Source organism: Homo sapiens, chromosome 5 (assembly GCF_000001405.40).
Source record: "Homo sapiens chromosome 5, GRCh38.p14 Primary Assembly".
NCBI lineage: Eukaryota > Metazoa > Chordata > Mammalia > Primates > Hominidae > Homo > Homo sapiens.
Genome location: NC_000005.10, coordinates 60,921,420 through 60,934,930, shown reverse-complemented (window position 1 = coordinate 60,934,930; position 13,511 = coordinate 60,921,420). Strand labels below are relative to the sequence as shown.

Below are 13,511 nucleotides of genomic sequence, written 5' to 3'. Positions count from 1 at the left end.
ATAGGCATATAGACCAACGGAACAGAGTGGAGAACCCACAAGTAGAGCCAAATACTTACAGCTAGCTGATCTTCAGCAAAGCAAACAAAAACCTAAAGTGGGGAAAGGACACCCTATTCAACAAATAGTCCTGGGACAATTGGCAAGCCACATGGAGGAAAATGAAAATGGATCTTCATCTCTCACCTTCTACAAAAATCAACTCAAGATGGATCAGAGACTTAAATCTAAGACCTGAAGCCATAAAAATTCTAGAAGATAACATTGATAAAACCCTTCTAGACATTGGCCTAGGCAAAGACTTCATGACCAAGAACCGAAAAGCAAACACGACAAAAACAAAGATAAATAGATAGGTCTTAATTAAACTGCACAGCAAAAGAAATAATCAGCAGAGTAAACAGACAACCCACAGAGTGGAAGAAAATCTTCACAACCTATACATCCAACAGAGGACTAATATCCAGAATATTCAAGGAACTCAAATCAAGAAAAAGATAAACAATCCCAACAAAAAGTGGGCTGACATGGATAGACAGTTCTCAAAAGAAGATATACAAATGGCCAACAAATATGACAAAATGCTCAACATCACTAGTGATTAGAGATGTGCAAATCAAAACCACAATGTGATATTACCTTAGTCCTGCAAGAATGACCATAATCAAAAAATCAAAATATAGTAGATGTTGGCATGGATATGGTGAAAAGGGAACACTTTTCCACTGCCAGTGGGAATGTCAACTAGTACCACCACTATGGAAAACAGTGTGGAGATTCCTTAAAGAACTAAAAGTAGTACTACCATTTGATCCAGCATTCCCACTCCCGGGTATCCACCTAGTAGAAGAGAAGTCATTATACAAAAAAGATACTCACACATGCATGTTTATAACAGCACAATTCGCAAGTGCAAAAATATAGAACCAGCCCAAATGCATATCAATCAACAAGTGGATAAAGAAAATGTGGTTGTGTGTGTGTGTGTGTGTATCATGGAATACTACTCAGCCATAAAAAGGAATGAAATCATGGCTTTTACAGTGACCTGGGTGGAATTGGAGACCATATTGTAAGTGAAGAAACTCAGGAATGGAAAACCAAATATTGTATGTTCTCACTCATAAGTGGGAGCTGAGCTATGGAGGACACAAAGGCATAAGAATGATACAGTGGACTTTGGGGACTCGGGGGAAAGGGTGGAAGTGGGGTGAAGGTTAAAAGACTGCACATTGGGTACAGTATGTACTGCTTGGGTGATGGGTACCCCAAAATCTCAGAAATCACCACTGAAGAACTTATGTAACCAAACACCACCTGTTCCCCCCAAAACCTATTGATAAATAAAAAATTCTAAAAATTCAAAAAAGTAAAACAAAAACTAAGTAATATATAGTAGATAGAAAATACAGGGGCTGGGCATGGTGGCTCACACCTGTAATCCCAGCACTTTGGGAGGCCAAGGAGGTGAATCACCTGCAGTCAGGAGTTTGAGACCAGCCTGGCCAACATGGTGAAACCCCATCTCTACTAAAAATACAAAAATTAGCCAGGTGTGGTGGCAGATGCCTATAATCCCAGCTACTCAGGTGGCTGAGGCAGGAGAATCACTTGAACCTGGGAGTTGGAGGTTGCAGTGAGCCGAGATTGCACCACAGCACTCCAGCCTGGGTGACAGAGTGAGACTCCGTCTCAAAAAAAAAAAAAAAAAAAAGAAAAAAAAGGAAAAAATGCATACATAGATATACATACATATAATATACATCCTATAAAAGCCATTTAAAACATTAAAACAAAAATAAAAGGTAAAAACTGAAATTAAATAGGAAATTTGGGCAAGCATGTGCCATAGAAGAAGCAAGAGACTGATAAAATATTTAACAATCAGTTTGGCATGGAAACGAACTAAGCCAAGTGAATGCTAGCTATTAATAACCAGTAAGCAATGCTTTTATATAAAAAAGAGATTGGAAAGGTGATTTTAAAAGACACCAGGGCTTGCTTTTTGTCCTTACCCTTCTACCCCAGGCTCTTCTGCCTTCCCTCTTCTCTTTCCCTTTTTACCCTCCCTCCTTTATGTGTCTACTCTTTCCTCTCTCCTTGCCCATTTTCCCTTCTCTTTTCCCTCTACTCCTATGCCATTGTGTTGGGGGAAGTCCTCAAGACCATCCCCAGGTTTTATGATTTTCTAGAAGGGCTGAGAACTCAGCATTTAATTATGACTCAATTACTCATGACTGTGATTTATTACAGTGAAAAGATACAAGATAAACTCAGCAAAGGGAATAGGTGCATGGGCAAAGTGTGGAGGAAACCAGGCACAGGCTTCCAAGAATCCTTTCCTAGTGGAGTCACACAGGACACACTCTATTCCTTTAGCAACAAATTGTGACAACATATGTGAAATGTCTATCAGGGAAGCTCATTAGAGACTCAATGTTGAAGGTTTTTACTGGGTACCGTTCATAAAGGCACCCTCTATCTAGCATGTACCAAAATTCCAGACTCCCAAAAGTAGAGCAGGTATTCATCATAAAGCACATTATTTTCTCAAATAGTTTAGGCACAGTGAGCCATTCTTATCCAGTCATGGTGGGCACCCTCCTGAAATCCCAGACTGTAACCAAGAGCCAATCTTGCAAGCAGAACTTTTTAAGGGTAGCCGTCTCAGGCCTGCTATGTTAACCTATGTTTTGTACACCTTGTCTCCTGCCACTCCCCACCTCTCTTTCCCTTTATAGTATTATTGCCCTTTTCCCTTCATCTTAAACTCTCCTTCTAGTTCACAGACAATTCAGTCCTGAAGTCATTATGTTGGGCAGAGGTAAGCTTTCTCACTTAGTATGGGATTAGGTTTCCTAGAGTGGAATTTCAGAGCCTGAGCAGGTTGAGGAAGTAGTTTAATTGTGGGGACATACAAATTTAGGTGATAAGGATTTTAGAGGAGACAGAAATCAGAGCCCAAGCTGTTGGGGGAGGGGATGGTAGTGGAGATGGGAGATTGGTTACATACAGGGGATTGATAAATATATTGGTAGTAATGGGAGCCATGCTTCTTACTGGGAGCCATGCTTCTTACTGTTAGGAAGAGGGAGCTGAAGGAAAAGATGATTACCTTTATACATGTTTGAATGATACTGTTTTTACTTGTTACAAAGAGCATATATTCTGTTGTAATTTGAAAAATGATCATATGGAAAAATATTTTCAGAAAAATGGCAATTTCAATGGAAAAATATGAAAAAAAAAGTTTTGATGAAATATTGAAGTTCAGAAATGACAGAACAGCATAGTGGTCTGGGGAAAGAATGTCAAAGTTCAGGGCTGAATGTGGTGGCTCACACCTGTAATCCCAGTACTTTGGGAGGTGAAGGTGAGAGGATTGCTTGAGGCCAGGAGTTCCAAACCAGCCTGGGCAACATAGCAATACTTCATCTCTGCAAAAAAATACCAAAACTTAGCCAGGTGTGGTAACATGCAATTGTAGTCCTAGCTATTTGGGAGGCTGAGGCAAGAGGATCCCTTAAGCCCAGGAGTTTGAGGCTATAGTGAACTATGATTTTGCCATTGCACTCCAGCCTGGGTGACAGAGGAAGACCCTGTCTCTAAAAGTAAATTTAAAAAAAAATTTAATGTTAAAGTTCAAATGCGGCTCAGCCAAATATTAGCTGTGTGACCTTGGGCAAATTACTCTTCTATTAATCTTATAATCAGGAGATGCATTTAATAATAATCACCACTCCTGGGACTACCACTTATTACACTTCTTATTACTACCTATTACAATGAGTAGTAGGCTTTTTTTTTTTTTGAGACGGAGTCTTGCTTGCTTTGTCACCCAGGTTGGAGTATAGAGTGCAGTGGCATGATCTCAGCTCACTGCAACCTCCGTCCCCTGAGTTCAAGCAATTTTCTCACCTCAGCCTCCTGAGTAGCTGGGATTATAGGCATGCCCCACCACACCTGGCTAATTTTTTTGTATTTTTAGTAGAGACGGGGTTTCACCATGTTGGCCAGGCTGATCTTGAATCGCTGACCTCAAGTGATCCGGCCTCCTTGGCCTCCCAAAGTGCTGGGATTACAGGCATGAGCCACCATGCCCGGCCTGGCTTTTTATATTAGCTGTTATTGTTATTGATCAAAGTCAGATAACTCATTACTGTTTGTCTGGATATTTAAACCTAAGGCTAAATTGCAATGTATATAGATGTATTGCAATAAATGTCACCCAGGCTGGAGTGCAGTGGCGCGATCTCGGCTCACTGCAACCTCTGCCTCCTGGGTTCAAGCGATTCTCCTGCCTCAGCCTCTGGGATTACAGGCATACGCCACTAGGCCTGGCTCATTTTTTAGTTTGTTTTTGTTTTTGTTTTTAGACGGAGTCTTGCTCTTATCACCCAGGCTGGAGTGCAGTGGTGTGATCTCGGCTTACTGCAACCTCCGCCTCCCAGGTTGAAGTGATTCTCCTACCTCAGCCTCCCAAGTAGCTGGGATTACAGGCACAGGCCACCACGCCCAGCTAATTTTTGTATTTTTAGTAGAGACGGGGTTTCACCATGTTGGCCAGAATGGTCTCAATCTTGTAACCTTGTGATCCTCGGCCTCCCAAAGTCCTGGAATAACAGGCATGAGCCGCCGCACCTAGCCTAATTTTTGTATTTTTAGTAGAGACAGGGTTTAGCCATGTTGGCCAGGCTGGTCTCGAACTCCTCACCTTAGGTGATCCGCCCACCTCAGCCTCCCAGAGTGCTAGGATTACAGGCATGAGCCACTGCGCCTGGCCTGCTTGTCATTGTTGTACTATATGTAATGTCTAGAAGACAAAGGGCCATGTATATCTTCAAATCAGATACTTTATACTGCTAAAATGATTTCCAAAATGCTTATAATTACTTGTACTAATGTCAATGAATGAAAGTATCAGTTTATGCCTTTCCAGCATTGTGCATTGTTATCTTTTTAAAAAACTGATAATTTTATAGGCCAAAAATTTATAATTTGATATTTAAACTAGCATTATTTTAATCAATAATGAATTTAGAAATAATTCTGGTTAAATTAGTGTAGATGCTAATAACAGCCAACAGATTAAGAGAGATTCAAATAGTTAATATTCGCTAGATACTTACAATGTACTAGGCATTGTAATTAGCACCTTTTATATACAAACTCATTTAATCTTAATAATATGCTCACCAGGATAATGATGGTTTACAGTTATAAAATATCAGAAATGTCATTTGTCTTAGTTTGTGAGAGTACTTGTTAATTATTTGTATTGATATTTAAGTGGCTTTATTTAAATACACATAAATGTTAAGTTGAACATAGTCTCTTTTCTTTTAAGACAGGATCTCACTCTGTCACCCAGGCTGGAGTGCAATGAAGTGATTATGGCTCACTGCATCCTTGAACTCCTGGGCTCAAGCAATCCTCCTGCCTCAGTCTCCTGCATAGGAGCCCACCACCATGCCCAGCTTATTTTTATTTTATTTTTTGTAGAGATGGGGTCTCGCTATGTTGCCTGGGGTGCTTTCCAACTCCTGGTCTCAGGGAGTCTTCTCACCTCAGCCTCCCAAAGCGCTAGGATTACAGGCATGAGCCACTGCACCCAGCCCATACTCATTTTTTATTTCTGTCCGTCTTTAAGAAACATTTCAAGGAATTTTTTTAATCCTGTAATTTATGCTTTTGTCCATTAGATGTCCTCAGCTACATTTATCAGAATTTAACTTTTTTCGTACAAATTTCCGTCTTTAAATACCTTTAAAAGTTTGCATGTAATTGTTACTACTGCTGATATTTTAAACATTTATACAAGATGTCTAAAAATCTATAAATACGTTAGGATGTGTGGTAGAAGATTTAGACATTTCTTGTGATTTTTGTACCATAAGTAATCTTGGTTAAATAAGAAATTTTTAAATGTTAAATTACTTGTTAATTTCTTTCTCCCCCTTTTATTTTTAAGAGTTTTGGGACTGGAATTAAATAAAGACAGAGATGTTGAAAGAATCCACGGCGGTGGAATTAACACCCTTGACATTGAACCTGTTGAAGGGAGATAGTAAGTTTATTATACTTGTATAATCATTTTTCTTTCTAAGTGAAATGCAGTAAAACCTGCTTTTTCAAATTAATGATGTAGAAGTTTCATTAAAATTAATGAAAATCCTAAATTGTAGCATTTTTGAATCTGGCATTATTAATTTCAAGTAAATACAAAACATCGAACCTACCAAATGTTGTCAAATAAACATTTCCAAGCTACTTTAATATAAATATTTACTTATTGTTAAATTAACAAACATTGAACTTCTTTTGGATGCAGAGGGCTTTTAGGTGCTAGAATGTGTCTTTAGGTGCTATTTTAAAACATAGTTGCTACTCTCAAAAAAGTCTAATGGTAAAATAAATATAAAAAGTGAAAGACTCTTTTGAAGAATTAGATTAGAAACAAATAAGAATTATATTTGAGTTCTTCCTGGCTTTACCCTTACCTAACCTTTCGAATTATCAGTTGCCTTAGCTATACAATGGGAACAATAGTACCTACCTAACAAGCTTGTTTTGAAGATTGAGATAATATGCACAACATGATTAACGTAAGACCTGGCACGTCATAAACAGTTGCCACCACTGCTGCCACTATTAATCAAAAGCAGTATTACATATACTTTTACTCCTTTCAGCCCAGTCTCTACACAGCAGCCAAAATGCTTTGAAAAACTCAATTCTGAACATATTCTCCTACTTACAATTCGTCATAACACTGCATTACTCTTAAAAGACCGTACAAAACCTTTCATGTGGCCTACAATTAGGCCACATATAGCATTAACTAAAGGAAGCAGTTTGTGTTATGGTATGTTTCATGTGGCCTATAATTAGGCCACATATAGCATTAACTAAAGGAAACAGTTTTTGGTGTTATGGTATGTTTAGCATTTCCCCCAGAATTTTTATTTTATACTGAAATATTATTATTAATACATTAAGTCAAGTCAGAACAGATTTGATAAACTTCCACTTTTTACTTCCAGCTTCCACCATGGTCTCATCTACTAGTATATGAGAAACATCTTACTTTAGCATGTGGTTAAATCTAAAAGATGAGTAATAATTCTTTTCTTTTTCCTGACCTTTTCCAGGCTCAGTGTAACACCTTCTATTCAAGGACAGCTGGGGGGGCACTCACTTATGAAACATGCAGACATGAGCAGCAGGAGATAGCTGACTTTTGGGTTTGGATGCTGGTCAGGAAAGTAATCAATACTGTTACTCCAGCCAGCCACTTGGTGTAGTAATCAGTTGTGTGGCCTGTGATGTATGAGAAGCCAGTAGACTACCAGTTGGCAGAGTTGGTGAGAAATATGGGAAGTTACAGATTATATGTGCATGAAATATATTTGAGAAATGCAGATGAGGCATCTTTTAATACAGCACATAGAGAAAAGTCTGAAGACTCTTGCTACAGTGATTTTCCGCTTTATTGCACGGTAAAAGTCTACAACTATTTCATTGTTTGCTAAGACTTGTATTTTGCATTAACCCCTTTTGATAGCAACAAGAGATATTAAAAGGAAAGCGTACATTCTGTGGAAAACTAAAAAAATCGATGTGTATATAACTTGTTCAAAACACCTGTTAATATTTACCATCCACCATGAGAGCTGTAAAGGTGTCACTGAAAATCAGATTGGAAACCAGACAGAATACACAAATCTGGCAGAGATTTTCAAAGTAAGGTGTTATTTTACAAAAAGTATCTGAAAATTACAGTTTAACAGGTGCAACTGCAGAGGGTGCATTTGCGTATCACTCTGTGAAGCTTGAATTTTCTTTTATACCTTTTAAATTCTTCTAAGTTAATTTCATTCATCTTTAATACTAAGTTTTCTTGTCTATATAAAAACATGAAACCATATCTCTTCATACTCTATCAGCAAAAAGTATCTCATAGTTAATGTCAGTGCCATCAGATACTTCAAATAGAAAGTTAATGGAATCAGAGAAAAGCTTTTGGAAGCCATTTTAACAGAGTCAAAACATCTGACATTATTGTAAATACCATATCAATTAAGATTAAAATTTCAACTTTTAACATAATTTTGTTTTATATTGATAATACATCTGTATGGCAAGAAAAGCAACGTTTCATGAAGATTAATTACGAAGCAAAAGTGTTTTGGGAATTGGTTGTAGTATACATGTAACTCACAACTGTGTCCAAACATTTTATCAATCTAAATAAAAGTTGTAGTTGTTAAAATTTACAAATATTTCTCTATGTACACAATTAGAGTAACTGAACTACAAAATGTAATAAAGCTAATGTGGAATATTTTTTAAAATAACTAAGTAGGGCATTATTAGCAGTCTTTCTTTACTGCCCATCAATTGGATTTTTGAGCCTTCAAATAACTACTTTTAAATTAACCCTATTGTTTTATAAATTGGTATTGAATTTATCTTAAAAACAAGTCTATAAATCAATACATGCTACTAGTTCATGAACTATTTGTGACTGGGTCACAAGATAAGGATCTTGTGCTAAAACATAAATCTACTACATCATTACACACACCATTTAAAGGAGCTAAGACATGTTTGTAACAAGACATTCTCAGTGAAGAAAGACGTGTGTTTGTTTCTGGTACAAGCTCCTTATCTTGGAGAGTTAAATAGCACTGCCTCTACATTTAATTGTATTTTGTTCAAAATCAGATGAAAATCTTTCAATCAAAATACTCAGTGAATGTAGTGCCAAAAACTGTAGTTTGGGTGCCATTCTTGAAAGATGACAGGCCGGGTGCAGTGGCTCACACCTGTAATCCTAGCACTTTGGGAGGCCGAGGCGGGCGGATTACCTGAGGTCAGGAGTTCAAGACCAGCCTGGCCAACGTGGTGAAACCCCGTCTCTACTAAAAATAGAAAAAATTAGCCAGGTGCAGTGGCGCGTGCCCGTAATCCCAGCTACTCTGGAGGCTGAGGCAGGAGAATCACTTGAACCTGGGAGGCAGAGGTTGCAGTGAGCCGAGATCATGCCACTGTACTCCAGTCTGGGCTACAGAGCGAGACTTCTTCTCAGAAAAAAAGAAAGAAAGATGACAATGTCAATGCAGTTTTTAATGTTCCTCTAGTTCTCCATTAAAACACATAAAGAGACTAAAAATGGCAAATAGGAAAAACCAGATTAACACTTACAACCAAACTAGGTCATGAAGTATCCCTACAAACCCCAAACTGTGAATAAGTGGGAACAAACCACTGACAACTAAAAGATCTGTGCACTACCAGCATTTTTGCTAGAGGAGGCAGTAAAAAGCGATAAGGCATCTGATATACCTGGATAAGTCCAAAGTAACCAACAGGTTGGTTGAAAACTTAGCAAGCAAATTTGACTACAGCAGCTCAAACTGGGAGAAGATGGCATACTCTAATTGTAGATATGTTTGAGTGGCCCATGGTAAGACCAGAAGGAGCTATAGCAGTCTGGACTCTAATATCTTTCCAAAGAGCTAACCAGTCAAAGTGCGCCCCCAGTACAGAACTATATACTGAGGAAAACTGCTGGAAATAGAATCCAAATTGAGCAGTACAGAGACAATAGAAACAAAGGAAAAAGATGTCCCCGATAAAATTGGAAAGGTGAACAGAAACAGGAAATCTCTGAAAGTAAGCTTCCATATTTTGAAATCTTACCCCCCAAAAAAAATTTTTAAGGGAAGAAGAGGATGTTTTAATATATAAAATTTAAACATTATTGTAAGTCAAGCCTCCATTCTAAAAGGTTAAGAAAATTAATTTTACATAAAAATGAGCAAAGGAATAGGATTAAGGTCAAAGTTCCTACAAAATCATTATAAAAACAAAGAGAATAAGAAGTGGACTAAAGCTGCTACAGATAGTGAAGTCACACCGGAAAGAAGTATCTATAAAACAGATGAGAACTCTAACCTAATATTTCAAAACTAGGTAAAAGTTGTTTTATAAACATATAATAAATGAGAGAATAATGTTAAGTTATTAGAAAACCTCAGAAATGAGATGCTCAAACTCAGAAAATTAGAAATAAAAATATTTCAGAAATGAAGACTGACTAAAACTTAAAGAACACAAATAAATGGAAGAGGTAATGCCTTAGAAATAGAAACTAGAAAGGAGGAAAATTTTAAAAGCCAAAAAGAAATGAACAGAGGAAAATAATTCAAGAGGTGTATATATAGAACATAGGCAAAGAAGATCCAGCATAACATATGATAGAAGTTCCCAAAAAAGAAACCAAGGCAAAAGAGCAGAATAAATATTAAAACAATAATTCAAGAAAGCTTTTCTAGGATAAATAAGATCTGGAACTTTATATAAGAGGGGGGGATTTATATTGTCACTAGACTTTGACTTTGGGCTTTCTGGCAGAAGAAATGAAGCTTCTTATCCAAGATGCTCAAGGAAATAAAATGTGAGTCAAGGATTTTATATCCAGCCAAACTGATTTCAGATACAAAAAGGACGGATAAATTGTCAACAACACAAGAATTCAGAGACTGTTGTTCTCATTAGCCATTCCTTAGGAATCAACCAGAGAATGAAATCATTCAACCAGAATGACAAGAGAGACAGCAACTTAAGGATTGACGGTGAGCAATAATATTAGCAGATAGCAACACTTTATATAAATGTATAAATTGATGGATCTAGATATTGGTTTGTCTGCTAATATCACATCACAACAAAGAGCAATGGGAAATAGAAATTATTTTAAATTATAGCACATGAATGCAGTCACCAAAGTCCAGGCTGGAAATTACAGGACAAATGATCTGGTTTTTGCAACAAATAAATTACAAGAGAGGGGAAAAGTACAGGAGGGAGGAAGAAAGGTAGAGGAGACCTATAGCTTAAAGTTAAAAGACATTAAAATTTTTTTAAAAAGCAAAGCTAATATTCATGTGTACACTCTAAGGTGATGAACTATGAACTATACAGAAGAGAAAGACAGTGACTACGATAAAAATCATGATAATGAGTTACTTTGAGGTGAAAAGGAAAGAGTGATGATGTAGAGAGATTGCATTGTTTGGATCTCTGTGAAGAATTTTTGATGGTTCCCCTATTTTTGATTGGGATAAATGTATATTTGTAATTGGGATAAATGTATATTTTGTAATGGAATAACATTCACAATGTCTAAGATTTTATAATATTTAAATTTGGTGTAACTTCCAAAAGAGACATAAAGAATTTGTTCAAGGAGAATTTTGTCTTGTAAAAAAATAAGTATACTAAAGAAAGGTACTTTGAATTAAGGTAAAAACAGTGAAAATAACCTGAAATATTTGCACATTTCAAGAATATCCTCCATTTTGCAGAATTTTCTCTGAACTTATCATATACCTCATCAACTATTGTTATTTCCTAAATTAAACATTATGGCTTTTAGGGAAGTCAGTTAAAGGTGTCAACAACTCCAGATTTAAAGATGATTTTTAGACAATTTTATGCCAAAAAAACTAATAAGATCATATTGAAAAATCCCATTTAAAAAAACACAGTAACAGTATTAGAGACAAATATGGTTAAGAAACTGATTAAAGTATATGAAGTACCAAGAATGATTTTACAAATTATTAAGTTCAATCAATGTATATAGCTTTAGTATATATGCTTGTTACTTTTACTTTTTAGAAATATTTTTGCAAAGTTTTTGAATAGAATAATTTTGTAGGTTCTACCAATATAATAGACCAGCTTGAGAGTGAGTCAATAATTGTTTCCAAAAAAAGATACTGCTAATTTTTTAGCACCCTCTTTTACTCCCAAAAGTAAGGCTTCAGTGGTTTGGCTCCTGCCTCTCATCTCTCACCACTCTTTCCCTTCCACACTGCTCCAGCAACAAATCCCTTCTTTTGGTTCCTAGAATGGGCTTGGATTGTTACTTTCACACCTTTCTGGCTAACTTTGAATCATCCTTCACATACCAGCTTAAATATTGCAATCAGGGAAACTGCTCCTGAATTTCCAAACTAGAATAAAAATAAGTTATTGTCACAGTGATCCCAATCATAACTAATAATTTGTGTGATTATGCATACTACTTGTTTTCCCTATTGGATTGTAAACTCTGCGAAGACAGGAACCATGCCTGCCTTGTTGACAGTTGTTTTAGCAGAGTGTCTAACATTGTAGGAACTTAAAGTTGAATGAATTGAGTGAATGCATTCATAAGAGAAGGAAGGAATCTAACATTTATTGAGCCCCTATTTTTTGCCAGGTACTATAAAAAGAATTTTGCACTTTTATTATCAACACTGTGATTCAGGTAAAAATGTCCCCCTCCTTTACAAATGTTGAGTCTTAGACAGGTGGTATAACTTGCCCAGAGCCAAATAGCAAGTGTCAGTAATAGTTGGTTTGTCTAATTCCTTTTTTATTTAGCATAGTCATAATTAGGACATTTAAAATAACTTTGTAATATTTTACTTTCTTAAGAAATCTCTTTTGCCGTCTTGTTTCTGTCACCCTTTCTTTTTGAAGTTATGGAAGTAAACTTGAAATGATCACAGAATGAATTTTTTTATATTCATTCTTGTATTAAATATTAAGAAATTTTAGTTTATGAAGTCTGTGTTATTGAGGATTAACTTATTATAAATTAATGTATCCTTAATACATTTGAGTGTTTGCAAATCAGTTTTTAGAAATTTGCAATCATAAATAAATGGACTAAATAATAAATAAAATGATAAATTAATGTGAACTTTTTTATTATCAGCATGTTATCAGGTGGTTCAGATGGTGTGATTGTACTTTATGACCTTGAGAACTCCAGCAGACAATCTTATTACACATGTAAAGCAGTGTGTTCCATTGGCAGGTATGTATTTAAAATGTAAAAATTTATGAATTTGTAAATAGTTGAGTATTTTTTGCATCGAATGCAAAACATGAAAATTGCAGTCAAGTGAATGGGTCAAGCGAATGGTTCACATAACACATTTGCATGGCTGTTCCTTGACACTTTCTTGAAAATAGTAACTGACATTCAGGTATAGTTTTTTAACATGTGTCTTCCCCAAAGCAACTTCAGTATCAATTTTCATTAGTATTTTATTTTTAAAAAACTTGTGATTATGTCCTTCTTTTTCTTTACCTACATAGCACATCTCAGTAACTAATTAGAGTTTTTAGTACCACTTAGTGTAAGATTCATTTATAGTCCTTCAGCTAATTATAAACACAAATTAGATTTTCACCTGATACTAATGGAAGAAAAAGGTTTAGATATACTAAACATATTGGTATTCCCTCACCAAACACACACATACACATATACCCACTCACCCCTGTCTTGTCTCTCTACTTACTCAAAGATGTCTAACTTAAAAACATACATCTGTAATACTTGTCTTCTCTGACTGTTCTCTACTGGCTTACCAATCTTGTGATAATTTTTTTTAAGTCTCTAATAAAATGTTTTGTGACATTGTAATTTTTCCATTGTGGTCATT

General features: G+C 36.1%; 1 protein-coding gene across 4 annotated transcripts in view; it reads left to right on the top strand.

Moving 5' to 3' along the window:
* ERCC8 (ERCC excision repair 8, CSA ubiquitin ligase complex subunit) overlaps window positions 1-13,511 on the top strand; it is a 78,617-nt gene that overhangs the window by 10,140 nt on the left and 54,966 nt on the right. For 3 of the 4 annotated variants that reach the window (NM_001290285.2, NM_000082.4, NM_001007234.3), the window contains exons 2-3: window positions 5,972-6,067; window positions 12,776-12,877. Coding sequence is in view for 3 of the 4 variants with exons in the window: in NM_000082.4 (NP_000073.1) it covers window positions 5,972-6,067; window positions 12,776-12,877 (198 nt within the window). In the remaining variant the exon portion in view is untranslated. Of the gene's footprint in view, window positions 1-5,971; window positions 6,068-10,422; window positions 10,641-12,775; window positions 12,878-13,511 lie in introns of all 4 variants that reach the window. The other variant, NM_001007233.3, reaches the window with a different exon arrangement.